Source organism: Homo sapiens, chromosome 6, assembly GCF_000001405.40.
Source record: "Homo sapiens chromosome 6, GRCh38.p14 Primary Assembly".
NCBI lineage: Eukaryota > Metazoa > Chordata > Mammalia > Primates > Hominidae > Homo > Homo sapiens.
In genome coordinates, this window is record NC_000006.12 from 139,225,450 (window position 1) to 139,239,350 (window position 13,901).

Genomic DNA, 13,901 nt, shown 5'->3' on the forward strand with positions numbered 1-13,901 from the left:
TGTAATTAACTAGTGGATCTGATGAAGTTGCTAGCTACAAAGCCAATACATAAAAAAATTATATTTTTGTATATCGGCAGCAAACAATAATAGGAAGTGAAATTTAAATAACTATGTCATTTTCAATTGTATCATAAAACATCAAACATCTAGAATTAAACCTAATGAAAAATAAACAAAGACACCAAGAAAATATACAATGTTACTGAAAATAGTCAAAGAAGAACTAAATAAATTGAGATATTTACCACATTCCTGGATTGGAAAACTCAATATTGTGAAAACCTCAATTCTCTTCAAATTGATTTATACATTAAATTCAATCCCCATGAAAACCCCAGTGTGTGTGTGTTTGTGTGTGTAGATTGACAAGCTGATTCTAAATTATATATGAAAGTAAAAGGGCTAAGAAGTTAAGAATACTTTGAAGAACACCAAAGCAGGAAGACTTACATTATCAGCTATAAAGATTTATTATGAAGCTACAGTAATTAAAATTATGTGGTATTGGTGCAAGGATAAACAAATCAACTGAACAGAATAGAGTTTAGAAAAAAGACACACATAGGTCAGGTGCGGTGACTCACACCTGTAATCCCAGCACTTTGGGAGGCTGAGGCATGTGGATCGCTGGAGCACAATAGTTCAAGACCGACCTGGAGAACATGGAGAAACCCTGTCTCTACTAAGAATACCAAAATTAGCCAGGCTGGTGATGCGTGCCTGTAGTCCCAGCTACTCGGGAGGCTGAGGTGGTAGGATCACTTGAGCCCAGGATGCAGAGGTTGCAGTGAGCTGAGATTGCTCCACGCCACTGCACTCCAGACTGGGCCACAGAGTGAGACCCTGTCTCAAAAAAAAAAAAAAAAAAAAAAAAAGAGATAGAGAGAGAGAGAAAGACACACATACACCTGAACATTCAATTTATGACTAAAGTAGCACAAAGATGACAAAAACAAAATACAAATGTATTTGTCAAAAAAGGTAAAAGATTGATAAATTGAACACTATTAAAATTGATAAATTCTTTTAATCAAAGTATATTAAGAGAATAAAAAGGTAAACCACAGCATAGCAGAACTGATTTGTAATTGTTAAGTAATAAAGTACTGCTTTCCAGAAATATAAAGCATTACTACACATGAACAAGAAAAAACAGATAAACCATAGGAAATGAGGGAAAAAAACATCATGAATATGCATGTCACGAAAGAGGCTATACGCCTGACCAATAACTATAGAAAAAGGTGCTCAACCTCATTAGTCATCAGGAAAGGCCAATTAAAACTACAATGAGGGTCAGGTGCATGGCTCATGCCTGTAATCCCAGCACTTTGGGAGGCTGAGGCAGGCAGATCACTTAAGTCAGGAGTTCAAGACCAGCCTGAGCAACATGGCAAAACCCCGTCTCTACAAAAGATACAAAAATTAGCTAGGCATGGTGGTGCACGCCCATAGTCCCAGCTACGCGGGAGGCTTAGGCATGAGCATTCCTGGAGCCCAGGAGGTGGAAGTTGCCATGAGCTGAGATTGCACCACTGAACTCCAGCTGGGGAGACAGAGCAAGACTCTGTTTCAAAACAAAACAAAACAAAACAAACTACAGTGAGATCCCAGGTGTGGTGGCTCATGCCTGTAATCCCAGTACTTTGGGAGGCCGAGGTGGGAGGATCATGAGGTCAGGAGTTTTGCCAGCCTGACCAACATGGCAAAACCCTGTCTCTACTAAAAATACAAAAATTAGCCAGGTGTGGTGGTGTGTGCCTGTAATCCCAGTTACTCAGGAGGCTGAGGCATGAGAATCGCTAGAACCCGAGAGGTGGAGGTTGAAGTGAGCCAAAATCACACCACTGCACTCCAGCCTGGAGAAAGAGTGAGACTCTGTCTCAAAAACAAAACAAAACAAACAAAAAAAAAAACGACAGTGAGATATTACTATACGCTTCCAAATGGCTAAAATGAAAACAACTGATACATGATGTGTGGGGAGGACATAGATCAATGGGAACACTCATACACTGGTAGTTGAAATTATTGTTACAATCTATTTGGAAAACTGATTAGTAGTATCTCCTATATCTGAAATAGACACATGTCATATAACCCACCAATTTATCTCCTACATATACACATAGGAAATATCACAGCAACATTATCTGTAGTGGACACTAATTGGAAACAATTCCAATGTCAGTCAACATCGGAATAGATAAGTTGTGGTATATTCATACTATAGATCACTATATGACAATGAAAATCAATGAACTACTCCTACAAGCCAAAACGTGGATGAATTGCACATAGATAGTTTTGAGCAAAAGAAGCCAGACATAAAAGGATAACTTCACAAAGTAAAAACAAAAACAAAAAACAGCCCCCTTACACACACAAATGCACACACGCACAGGCACTCATATACACACACAGGCAAAACAAATGTGCTTTTCTCTAAGAAGGAGGGAGGGGTAACCTGTAGGATGCTTGACTATGCTCTATTTCTTGACCCAGGTGGTGGGTTACATGTGAGAATTCACTTTGTAATAAATCATCATTTTTGCAATAAAGAGTTTTTAAAGATATGTTGAGAAATTAAAATGAGAAATGAGATTTTGGAACTATTTCCATAGAAGTTAATTATTAGAATTTAGACCTCTTTTCTTTTGGTGTGCCACCATGGTGTAGCCATTCATGCTTCTTCTCATCTCTGCTACTCATTGCTGTTTGGATGCAGATGACAGCAACCCATCCAGCAACGCAACCATACCCTCTTAAAAAGGGAAACTAGGCTGGGCGCAGTGGCTCACACCTGTAATCCCAGCACTTTGGGAGGCCGAGGCGGGTGGATCACCTGAGTTCAGGCATTTGAGAACAGCCTGGCCAGCCTGGCCAACATAGTGAAACCCCATCTCTACTAAAAATACAAAAAATTAGCTGGGCATGGTGGTGGGCATCTGTAATCCCAGGTACTTGGGAGGCTGAGGCAGGAGAATCACTTGAACCCAGGAGGCAGAAGTTGCAGTGAGCTGAGATCATGCCACTGCACCCCAGCCTGGACAACAAGAGTGAAACTCCATCTCAAAAAAAAAAAAAAAAAAAAGGGAAGTTAATGGATCTAAAAAGACCAACATGTTCCAGGGGCTGAAATATGGTTACCAGGATTAAGTTTCTCTTCTTGCAACTCCACTCACCTCCTCTTGGCTTGATTCTACCTGCAGGTGATTCCTCTTGGTAGGCAGAATTACAGCAGAAAAAAACCCAATAGCTAGGTTAGACTGGACCCCACTTGGTACACGTGGGCGAGCACACTGGATCGGAGTGGCTTCAGTTCACACAAACCCCCAGATAACGTATGAATAAAATTAGTGTGAAAGTGCAACTTCATGACAAGCCAAATAGTCTCCTGCCCCACTTTCAACCCAGTTGCAGTCCATAAGCCCTCTTCTATGGCAGTTCTGGAGCTGCCACTGTCTTTGAACTAAATACTCTATCAAGTGTTACACTGTTTTAGGCCCGTCTCCTGAGGCCAGGACTGGGTGAGTGGGTAGGGCTCTGTGCTTGATGGCCCCATCCAGACTGCATGTATCCAGGACAAAGTATTTTTTCCAAGGAAGGGACATGGGCAGGAAAAAGCGATATGTCTGCTCTTTGCTAAATAATTTTTATTTTTGCACATTAGGGAAAGATAATCAATACTTCCAAATTGCCCTTTGAAAGAACTCCTACAAATGTACGAGAAAAGGACAGATGACCCAATACCATATTGACAGTTTCTGAGTATACCCATTTGCCCTCATCCTTTCTAATACTGGGTATTATCAGTATGAAAGTTCTGTCAGGCTAATGAGCAAAAGTGATTGTGTGTCATTTTAAAATTTTATTTATTTATTTTTGAGATGGAGTTTCTCTCTTGTTGCCCAGGCTGGAGACCAATGGCGTGGTCTTGGTTTACTGCAAACTCCACCTCCCGGGTTCAAGTGATCCTCCTGCTTCAGCCTCTCAAGTAACTAGAATTACACGTGCCTGCCACCACGCCCGGCTAATTTTTGTATTTTTAGTAGAGATGGGGCTTTACTATGTTGGCCAGGCTGGTCTCGAACTCCTGACCTTAGGTGATCTGCCCGCCTTGGCCTCCCAAAGTGCTGGGATTACATGTGTGAGCCACCATGCCTGGCCTGTTTATTTTTATTTACCTGATGTGTTTTAGTTATTTGTATTTCTTCTTCTACAAACTGCCCGTTCACATCCCATGCCAGGAGCTTAGAAATGAGGGTGGGACACACAGCGGGTGTGATCATCTCTGGCAGGGAGGAAAACTACCACTCACATTATTTGGGACTGCTGTGCATGGTGACAATAAAAAGCAGACTGGCTTGTGGTTGGTCTTATTACCATTAAATATTCTCTGATAGACAATGCACCTCCCACCCCATCTTCCATTGCCCTTGCCCACTTTCTTCTGAGTTGTCTTTTCTTATTACTTTGTACTATTTCTTTTTTTCCTGGACGTTAATGCTTCGTTGTATTTACTGTGACTATATTCTCCCAATCTATCCTTGGCTTTTATTTATGTTTACCTATTTTGCTCCCTTTAACTTTTGAAGATTATTAATTAACACGTGTGGCAGACAATTAGTTTGTTATAAAAAGCTCTCCTTCTCCTTCCTCTTGGTATTGCTTTAAATTACTCCCAGACTGAATTGAAGGACTTCAATATCGGTTTTCTAATAATGGGCAAGGGAGAAGCCAGATGGTCCACCTACAACTATATAGCTAGTCAGTGCTAAATATTTTGGGGAGATGAATTGTATCACAGCAAAAAATCTCTTGGCACAAAGAATGAGTTATGGGCATGGCTGATAGGCCAGTAGGATCTGCAATCAGTCCTGGTTTACTACCTTCTGACTCACTGATTAAAACATAAATGGATTGGACACTATTTCTCTTTGGCTTTTGGTTCAGGGAAACTATTCAGGGGCTTGATTTCAGCTGGATAATAGCAGAGAAAAAGGAGACTGGGACTCCGCCTCCAAGGACGTCACCCTAGTTAAAGATAGTAACCATCTGAAGAGCTCCTCTCCGCTTAGGCAGGCCAGAATCAATTTAGCCTGTTTGCTACCACTTCTTGTGCTCCATGCTCTGCAGCTGGTCTCTGTGAGGAATGGCATGGAGAATTTCTCAAGACATACTCCTTTTCTTGCCTGGGGATGGAGCTGTGAGTCCATGATGACTGTCACATTGGGCTGGTGGTGCATGCAATTATTTCATGAATAGCTGACACTATACTTGCAGCCTCACACACCTGCCTGTTTGTTCAGAAGCCAAAAAAAGTGAGCCTTGTGACATTGTAAGCAAAAGAGGATTAGTTGAGCAAACAAAAGTCTGCAGCAAGATGGGATCCTATGAAAAAGTAGCTAGCCACATGACTCAAATTACATCTGCAGTGTTTCAGCTTTTCAGTTCCCAGCCCCAACACATACACATTGTAAACTTGCATATAACCATCACCCTTACATAGGCTCCATTACTTTATTATGCATAAATAGAGTCACATGCAACTACAAGCATTCATATAGAACTACATACATACAATGCACTCCCAGAAAACTGCACATACCGGCACGTTTTACACACAAATATTCATACGTACCCTCACACACAAGTACACACTGACACATAAATACATGAACACACAAATAACCACACACACATTTCATAAAACCCCCATTCTCTAGCAAGAACCTACACTCTCTACTTGGAGATCTGGGTATCATTTCTAATAAACATGCTGTCAGAGTTTTCCTTCTTGTTTTTTAGTTGCTGAACATTTTGGGGTGAATGAGACAGCCCAGAGTCTCTTCCAGGCCCTTCCCACGGTGCTGAGTTCCTAGCACTGGAAGTGGAAGGAGTCATCAGGCCTGAGTCACACAACAAGGTGCTCTGATCTGGAGCAGACAGGGTCAAGGTGTGGGTGGTCGTGAAACACTTTGCTTAGACTTGTAACCACTGTCATTCCAGGGGCTAGCACAGAACCTCATGCAGAGAAGGCCCTCAATGTATGTTGAATAAATCCTTCATCTTTCCCTATTTAATTTTTAAACTTAAAAGAAATTATATGAGTAATTTCTTGTCTCCTTTTTCTTGCCTGACTTAACAGAAGTAACCCAAATGACGTGCAGGTCTCATAGAATAAAACTCTCCCTGGAGGTGGGGAAACTTCATAATCTCTTGAGATTTTAATTGGAGACACCAAAATCCTTACATATCTAGTAAGGAATCTCTAGTCTGAGGTTCTCATCTTATAGGTGAGTTAACTGAGGCCCAGAGATGTTAAGCAATTTCTCCAAAGTCACCCAGCTAGTTGGCAGCAGAGCAGGGACTAAGCATTCAATAGGCTGATTCCTGGATGAGTACTATCCTTGATTAAACTTGGATACTTTTATTCCAGGAATAACTTGTTGATAAGAATGTTAAGAAGACAAATGAACGTGAATTTCTTTACTCAGAGCATTACAATAGTCTGACTGTGAGGAATTATACTGGTTTGGGTAGAGCATTTACTATATTCTAATAAATCTGGCCTGTGGTATCACACTGTGTATTAATCTGTTCTCACACTGCTATAAAGAACTGCCCAAGACTAGGTAATTTATAAAGGAAAGAGGTTTAATGTACTCACAGTTCCACATGGCTGGGACTGGACATGGGGAAGCTTCAGGAAACTTACAATCATGGCAGAAGGGGAAGCAGGCACATCTTACATGGTGGCAGGCCAGAGAGAGCTTGTATGAAGGAGGAGCTGTCAAACACTTATAAACATCTCATAAGAACTCACTCACTATCATGAGAACAGCATGGGAAAAACTGCCCCCATGATTTAATCACATTCCACCGGGTCCCTCCCTCAACACTGGGGATTATGGGGATTACAATTCAAGATGAGATTTGGGTGGGGACACAGAGCCAAACCATATTATACTTGTAGTACTCTCATCTAATATATATTTAATCTCATGACTTCAGATATGATTAAAGTAGTCCTGTCGCACTAGTTCTATAAACTTGAACTCTGACTTTGAAATTTTCTTTGTATATGGGATTTCTGAATACTTTATGGCTTGTTACATCTTCCTAGTACATATATTAGAGCAATCTCAGGCTCTTGACAGTTTTTATCCGTGCTCTACTTAATAGGTATGAAACAGATAATGCTGGTTATCATTTCCCTAGAGCAACAAAACCACTAACTGTCTCATCAATTTTGAAATGCTCGAATTTGTTTTAGAACCCTGACCTTTAGCCAATGCTATGATTTATGGTATTATCATCTTTCCTGTCACTTCATAAACAGTTTGACTTTTTCTCTTGTTTTATTATTTACCACATTCGTATTTTTCCTGAGTTGGTCTCTTATTTATTTTTTGAGCTGTGTTGAGTTTAAATATCTTGCTCTACCCCATGTCCAGGAGGTTTATGTGGAAACCTGTATGTGTGTGTTGAAATCTTTAAGTACAATGTGTGGAAAAGCTTTGTAACAACATGTATGAATGCTGGGTATTTGTATTTACATAGTCATGTTTATTCTATAAATAATATAATATGCTTCCATGTTTTTATGATAAAGTGAAATATATAAAATTTTACTACACAATGTAAACACTCAAATCTGGTACCTATTAATAGCTATCATTCTCACCTGTACTACTGTGTCCTCCCTAAAAGCCAAACTAACATAATGTTAAACTTAAAAACACATTCAAATAATTTAAAATGCACTATTTTATATACTGGATGCTGACAGTGGTTAAATTAGAGTGATATAATTATGAGTAAGTTTTCTCTATTTTCTGAATGTTTATTATGTAATTTTATTATTTTTATAAGAGACTGCCTTTACTATATATAAATATATATTTTTATATAAATTTATATATATATAAATAAATATATATTTTTATATAAATTTATATATATATAAATAAATATAGATAGATAGATAGATATTTTTTTTGAGACAGTGTCTCACTGTCACCCAGGCTAGATACAGTGGCAGGAACATGGCTCATTGCTTCCTTGACCTCCTGGACTTGGTGAGTCTCATGAGATCTGATGGTTTTTTAAGTGTCTGGTGTTTCCTTTGGTTGCACTCACTCACTCTGTCCTGCCACCCTGTGAAGAAGGTACCTGCTTCTTCTTCACCTTCTGCCATGATTGTTAAGTTTCCTGAGGCCTCCCCAGCCATGCAGAACTATGAGTCAATTAAGCCTCTTTCCTTTATAAATCATCCAGTCTTAGGTATTTCTTTATAGCAGTGTGAGAATGAACTAATATAGTAAATTGTTACCAAGATAGTGGGGTGCTGCTATAAGGATACACAAAAATGTGTAAGTGACTTTGGAACTGGGTAACAGGCAGAGGTTGAAACAGTTTGGAGGGCTCGGAAGATGTGGGAAAGTTTGGAATTCCCTTCCTAGAGACTTGATGAATGGCTTTGACCAAAATGCTGATAGTGATATGGACAATGAAGTCCAGGCTGAGGTGACCTCAGATGGTGATGAAGAACTTGTTGGGAACTAGAGTAAAGGTCACTCTTGCTATGCTTTAGCAAAGAGACTGGCAGCATTTTGCCCCTGCCCTAGAGACCTGTGGAACTTTGAACTTCAGAGAGAGGATTTAGGATATCTATGGAAGAAATTTCTAAGGGGTAAAGCATTCAAGAGGAAGCAGAGCATAAAGGTTTGAAAAATTTGCAGCCAGATGTTGTGAAAGAAAATAAAAACCCATTTTGGGGGGAGAAAGTCAAGCCTGCTAAAACACTCCAGAAATTTGCATAAGTAATGAGGAGCTGAATGTTAATCACCAAGACAATAGGGAAAGTGTCTCCAGGGCATGTCTGAGACCTTCATAGCGGCACCTCTTATCACAGGCCTGGAAGCCTAGGAGGAAAAAATGGTTTTGTGGGCCAGACCCAGGGCCCCACTGCTCTGTGCAGCCTTGGGACATGGGGCCCTGCATCTCAGCTGCTCCAGCTCCAGCAGTGGCTAAAAGGGGTCAAGGTACAGCTCAGGCCATTGCTTCAGAGGGTGCAAGCCCCAAGCCTTGGTGGTTTCCACGTGGTGTTGGGCCTGTGGGTGCACAGAAGTCAAGAATTAAGGTTTGGGAACCTCTGCCAAGATTTCAAAGGATATAAGGAAATGCCTGGATTTCCAGATAGGAATTTGCTGCAGGGGCAGAGCCCTCATGGAGAACTTCTACTAGGACAGTGCAGAAGAAAAATGTGGGGTCAGAGCCCCCACACAGAGTCCCCACTGAGACACCGCCTAGTGGAGCGTGGAGCTGTGAGAAGCGGGCCAAAGTCCTCCAGACCCCAGAATGGTAGATCCACCAACAGCCTGCACCATGTGCGTGGAAAAGCCACAGGCACTCAATGCTAGCCCATGAAAGCAGCTGGGAAGGGCACTGCACCCTGCAAAGCCACAGGAGTGGAGCTGTCCAAGGCTACGGGAGCCCACCTCTAGCATCAGCATAACCTGGATGTGAGACATGGAGTCAAAGGAGATCATTATGGAACTTTAAGGTTTAATGACTACCTAGTTGGATTTAGGCTTACATGGAACCTGTAGCCCCTTTGTTATGGCCAATTTTTCCCATTTGGAATAGGTGTATTCCCTCCGGCCTGTGCCCACAGACCTAGGTGAGGACAGGCGCTCCTGTTTTCACACCCAAATGTTGCATTTTCCAAGACCACCCTGGCCTGCCACATCCCCCATCCTGTGTCTATAAAAACTTGGACACCTTAGCAGACACAGTGGCTGGATGTCAAGAGGAACACATGCAATGCCTATACCCCCATTTTGTCTAGGAAGTAACTAACTTGTTTTTGATTTTACAGACTCACAGGCAGAAGGGACTTGCCTTATCTCAGATGAGACTTTGGACTTTTGGGTTAATTCTGGAATGAGTTAAGACTTTGGGGGACTGTTGGGAAGGCATGATTATGTTTTAAAATGTGAGGACATGAGATTTGTGAGGGGCCAGGGGCAGAATGATATGGTTTGGCTCTGTGTCCCCACCCAAATCTCATCTGGAATTGTAATCCCCATAATCCCTATCTGTCAAGGGTGGGACCAGGTGGAGGTAATTGGATCACAGGGGTGGTTTCCCCCATGCTGTTCTTATGATAGTGATATGGGATGGGGGCAGGGAAGTGCTGGTAGAGAAAGGCAGGGTCCCTGGTGAGGGCTGTACCCTCGAGCCTGTGCCCAGGGACCGAGGTGAGGACAGGCACTCCTGTTTTCACGCCCAAATGCTGCATTTTCCAAGACCATCCGGGCCCGCCACGCCCCCCCTTCCTGTGCCTATAAAAACTTTGACACCCTAGAAGACACAGCTGCTGGATGTCAAGAGGAACACATCAGCGGAAGAACGCACAGGCAGCTGGATGTCAAGAAGAGCAGAGGAGCGGAAGAGCACACCGACAGGCACCAGCAAATGCTGGTAGGCCATCAACAGTGGAACAATGTGGAATTTGGCTGGGGATGGTCAGAGAAGAGTCCGGACGCTGGGCAGCCTGACTCCAGGGGAAGACACCTTCCCACTCCTTCCCCCTTCTGGCCTCCCCATTCACCTCACTGAGAACTACCTCCACTCAGTAAAACCTTGCACTTATTCTCTAAGCCCACGTGTGATCCAATTTTTCTGGTACACTAAGGTAAGAACCCAGGAGAGAGAAAGCCCTCTGTCCTTGTGATAAGTCAGAGAGTCTAACTGAGCTGATTAATGCAAGCCACCTGCAGACGGCTAAACTGAAAGAGTGCACTGTAACACACGTCCACTGGGGCTTCCAGAGCTGTAAACACTCAACCCTAGATGCTGCTGTGGAGTCAGTGCTCTCCACGACCTGCCCTTCTGCATGCTCCCCTAAGGGTATGAGCAGTAGGGCACCAAAGAAGCGAGCCACACCCCCATCACATGTCCTGCAATGGGGATAAGGGAACTTTTCCCATTTCAATAGTGAGTGAGTTCTCACAGATCTGATTGTTTTATAAGCACCTGGCATTTCCCCTGCTTGCACTCACTGCATCCTGCTGCCCTGTGAAGAAGGCACCTGCTTCTCCTTTGCCTTCCACCATGATTTTAAGTTTCCTGAGGCCTCCCAAGCCATGCAGAACAGTGAGTCGAGCCTCTTTCCTTTATAAATTACTCAGTCTTGTGTATTTCTTCATAGCAGTGTGAAAATAGACTAATATACAGGCTCAAGCAATCCTCCTGCCTCAGCCTCCCAAGTAGCTGGGACCACAGGTGCCTGCCACCACACCTGGCTAATTTTGTAATTTTTATAGAGATGGGATTTTGCCATGTTGCTCAGGCTGATCTACAACTGCTGAGCTCAAGTGATCCTCCTGATCCACCCACCTTGGCCTCCCAAGGTCCTTGATTACAGACCTGAGCCACTGTGCCTGACCACCTTTATTATTCTAAAAGAAACACAAATAAGAAAACAAGGCAGCAACCCTACAAACCCTGTGCGTAAAAATTCTCCAGGTTGGAGCTGTGGTGTTAAAGTGTATTAAGGTCATCATGGGTTGGGCTTTTTATTGCTATCCTGCTTCCCCAAAAGGGCTCATCAGTTTATGTCCCTCTTCCTTTCATTGTTCTTAATAGTCTTACGGTTTTATCTTATATGTCATATCTTATCTTAAGATCTTACCCTCTATATAATAGCTTATAGATTTGAACTCTTTCACATTTTTTTGAAAATATGTAGTATATTGGCCGGGTGCAGTGGCTCACACCTGTAATTCCAGCACTTTTGGAGGCTGAGGCAGGCAGATCAGGAGGTCAGGAGATCGAGACCATCCTGGCTAACACAGTGAAACCCCGTCTCTACTAAAGATACAAAATATCTTTATTTTGGGTGTGGTGGCACATGCCTGTAGTCCCAGCTACTCGGGAGGCTGAGGCAGGAGAATCGCTTGAACCTGGGAGGCAGAGGTTGCAGTGAGTCAAGATCGTACTACTGCAGTCCAGTGCCTGGGGGATGGAGTGAGAGACTCCATCTAAAAAAAAAAAAAAAAAAAGAAAAGAAAAAGAAATGATGTAATGTGTCTATTCTAGATATTTTACCTATAACATATATACATATGTAACAGACACAATAGCTATCAGATTGAAAATATTTCCTTTTCCTCTTGTAACATAATGTCTTCCTGCTTGGCTTCTAGCAAGTAGTTTTTGTGTTATTTGACATAAAATGTCATCAACTGACTGTCAGTTCTGAAATAATGAGTTTTACACGTCGGTATGTTTTAGTTATGATTTGAGGTAATTGAACATTATATCACTTAAAAAAAAGTCAAAGTGGAATAGATGTTGGTATGAATAGAAATCCTGGGCTCTAAAATTCAGCAGGAAGAAGGACTTGCATTTGGGTTTAGCTGAGCTTGATTGTGCTGTTGAAATAATTTATCCTTTTTGTTATCTCCTGGCCAGGTGAAGTAGCTTCTGTGAATAATTTTTGTGCCATAGATCAATGAATTTCTAGGTTTATTTTGCTAGTTAAGTGTTTCTACCAAATATCCTTATTTGGTGGAAATGATTCTTTTTTATAGTTTGTTCTTGTCAGGAAAGATAATACTAAGTATCCTTTGAAAATACTGGTGTAAGCCCAGGCATGGTGGCTCACGCCTGCAATCCCAGCACTTTGGGAGGCCAAGGCAGGCAGATTACTTGAGGTCAGGAGTTTGAGACCAGTCTGGCCAACACGGTGAAACCCCGTCTCTACTAAAAATACAAAAGTTAGCCGGGCATGGTGGCAGGTGCCTGTAATCCCAGCTACTCAGGAGGCTGAGGCACGAGACTGGCTTAAACCTGGGAGGTGGAGGTTGCAGTAAGCCGATATCACGCCACTGCACTCCAGCCTGGGCAATAGAGTGAGACTTAGTCTCACAAAAAAGAAAAAAGAAAATATTAGTGTAAATACTCATCAATGGGACCAGAATTAAACTTAGGTCAAATTTTATACCTCCGTATTTATGTATATGTATGTGTGTGTGCATTCACACGCACATGTGACAGAAGCTAGCATTTGTAGAACTTTTATCAAGAGAAACCACCAAAGAGACTTAACGTCAGTATTGAGGATACAACTTAATAGCGTTGAGAAAAATCTTCATTATTATCACATGAAAACTTCTGTTCCAACAGAGTGCTCTATGGATGATAACCTTAATTTTCAAGTTCTAAAATACAGAAATGGAAATTATTTAAACCTTGTGAAAATTGAACCCTTATGCCTCACTCGCCTGTGAAACCCTCCTTGCCACTTTATGATGAGAATGAACTTCGGAGGCCAGAGTCCTTATTTTCATTTCACATCTTCCATTAGCAAATTCTTTACATTTTAAATTATTTTACTTTCCCAAATACTGGATTTAACTACTGGTTAGAGGAGAATGGGCCAGGAAAATTGTCCTGAAACCATCTGCCTCTCCTGTTTCTTGTTGGTCTTATTGAAAAGCAGCATCAGTTTTACAACGAACACATGTTACTTTTATCATCTCAAAAAAGGGGCTATTTAAAACGTGTACGTCAATACCAGGCCAAAAGGAGCAAAATCAGTCTTACAGGCAGGTCTTACCTTTTCTCCCTTCTTAGCTCACAGTCCTCTTCTCACAGCACGCTAGGAAATGTGGTGTTTGAGAAGCCCCTCCCAGGTCAGTGTGGACTGAGAGAGGGAGAAGAATCAAAACGCAGAGCAGCTGGGCCTCTTTGAGTCTTGTTCGATGAAATTCTTGGAGCAGTCAGGAGGGCTGGAGAGAGGAAAAGTGCATCGGCACCTTCTACGCTTCCTCCCTTCCTCCAGGAGGACGCACGGCAGAGAAGCCTGTGGAAACGTGGTCTCG

At 42.1% G+C, this 13,901-nt stretch overlaps 1 protein-coding gene across 5 annotated transcripts in view; it reads right to left on the reverse strand.

The window, feature by feature from the left end:
* Window positions 1–13,901, reverse strand: part of TXLNB (taxilin beta) — a 164,789-nt gene that overhangs the window by 66,288 nt on the left and 84,600 nt on the right. For all 5 annotated transcript variants that reach the window (XR_007059217.1, XR_007059220.1, XR_007059216.1 and 2 more), the window contains exon 11: window positions 13,637–13,808. The gene's annotated coding sequence lies outside the window, so the exon portion shown is untranslated. The remainder of the gene's footprint in view (window positions 1–13,636; window positions 13,809–13,901) is intronic.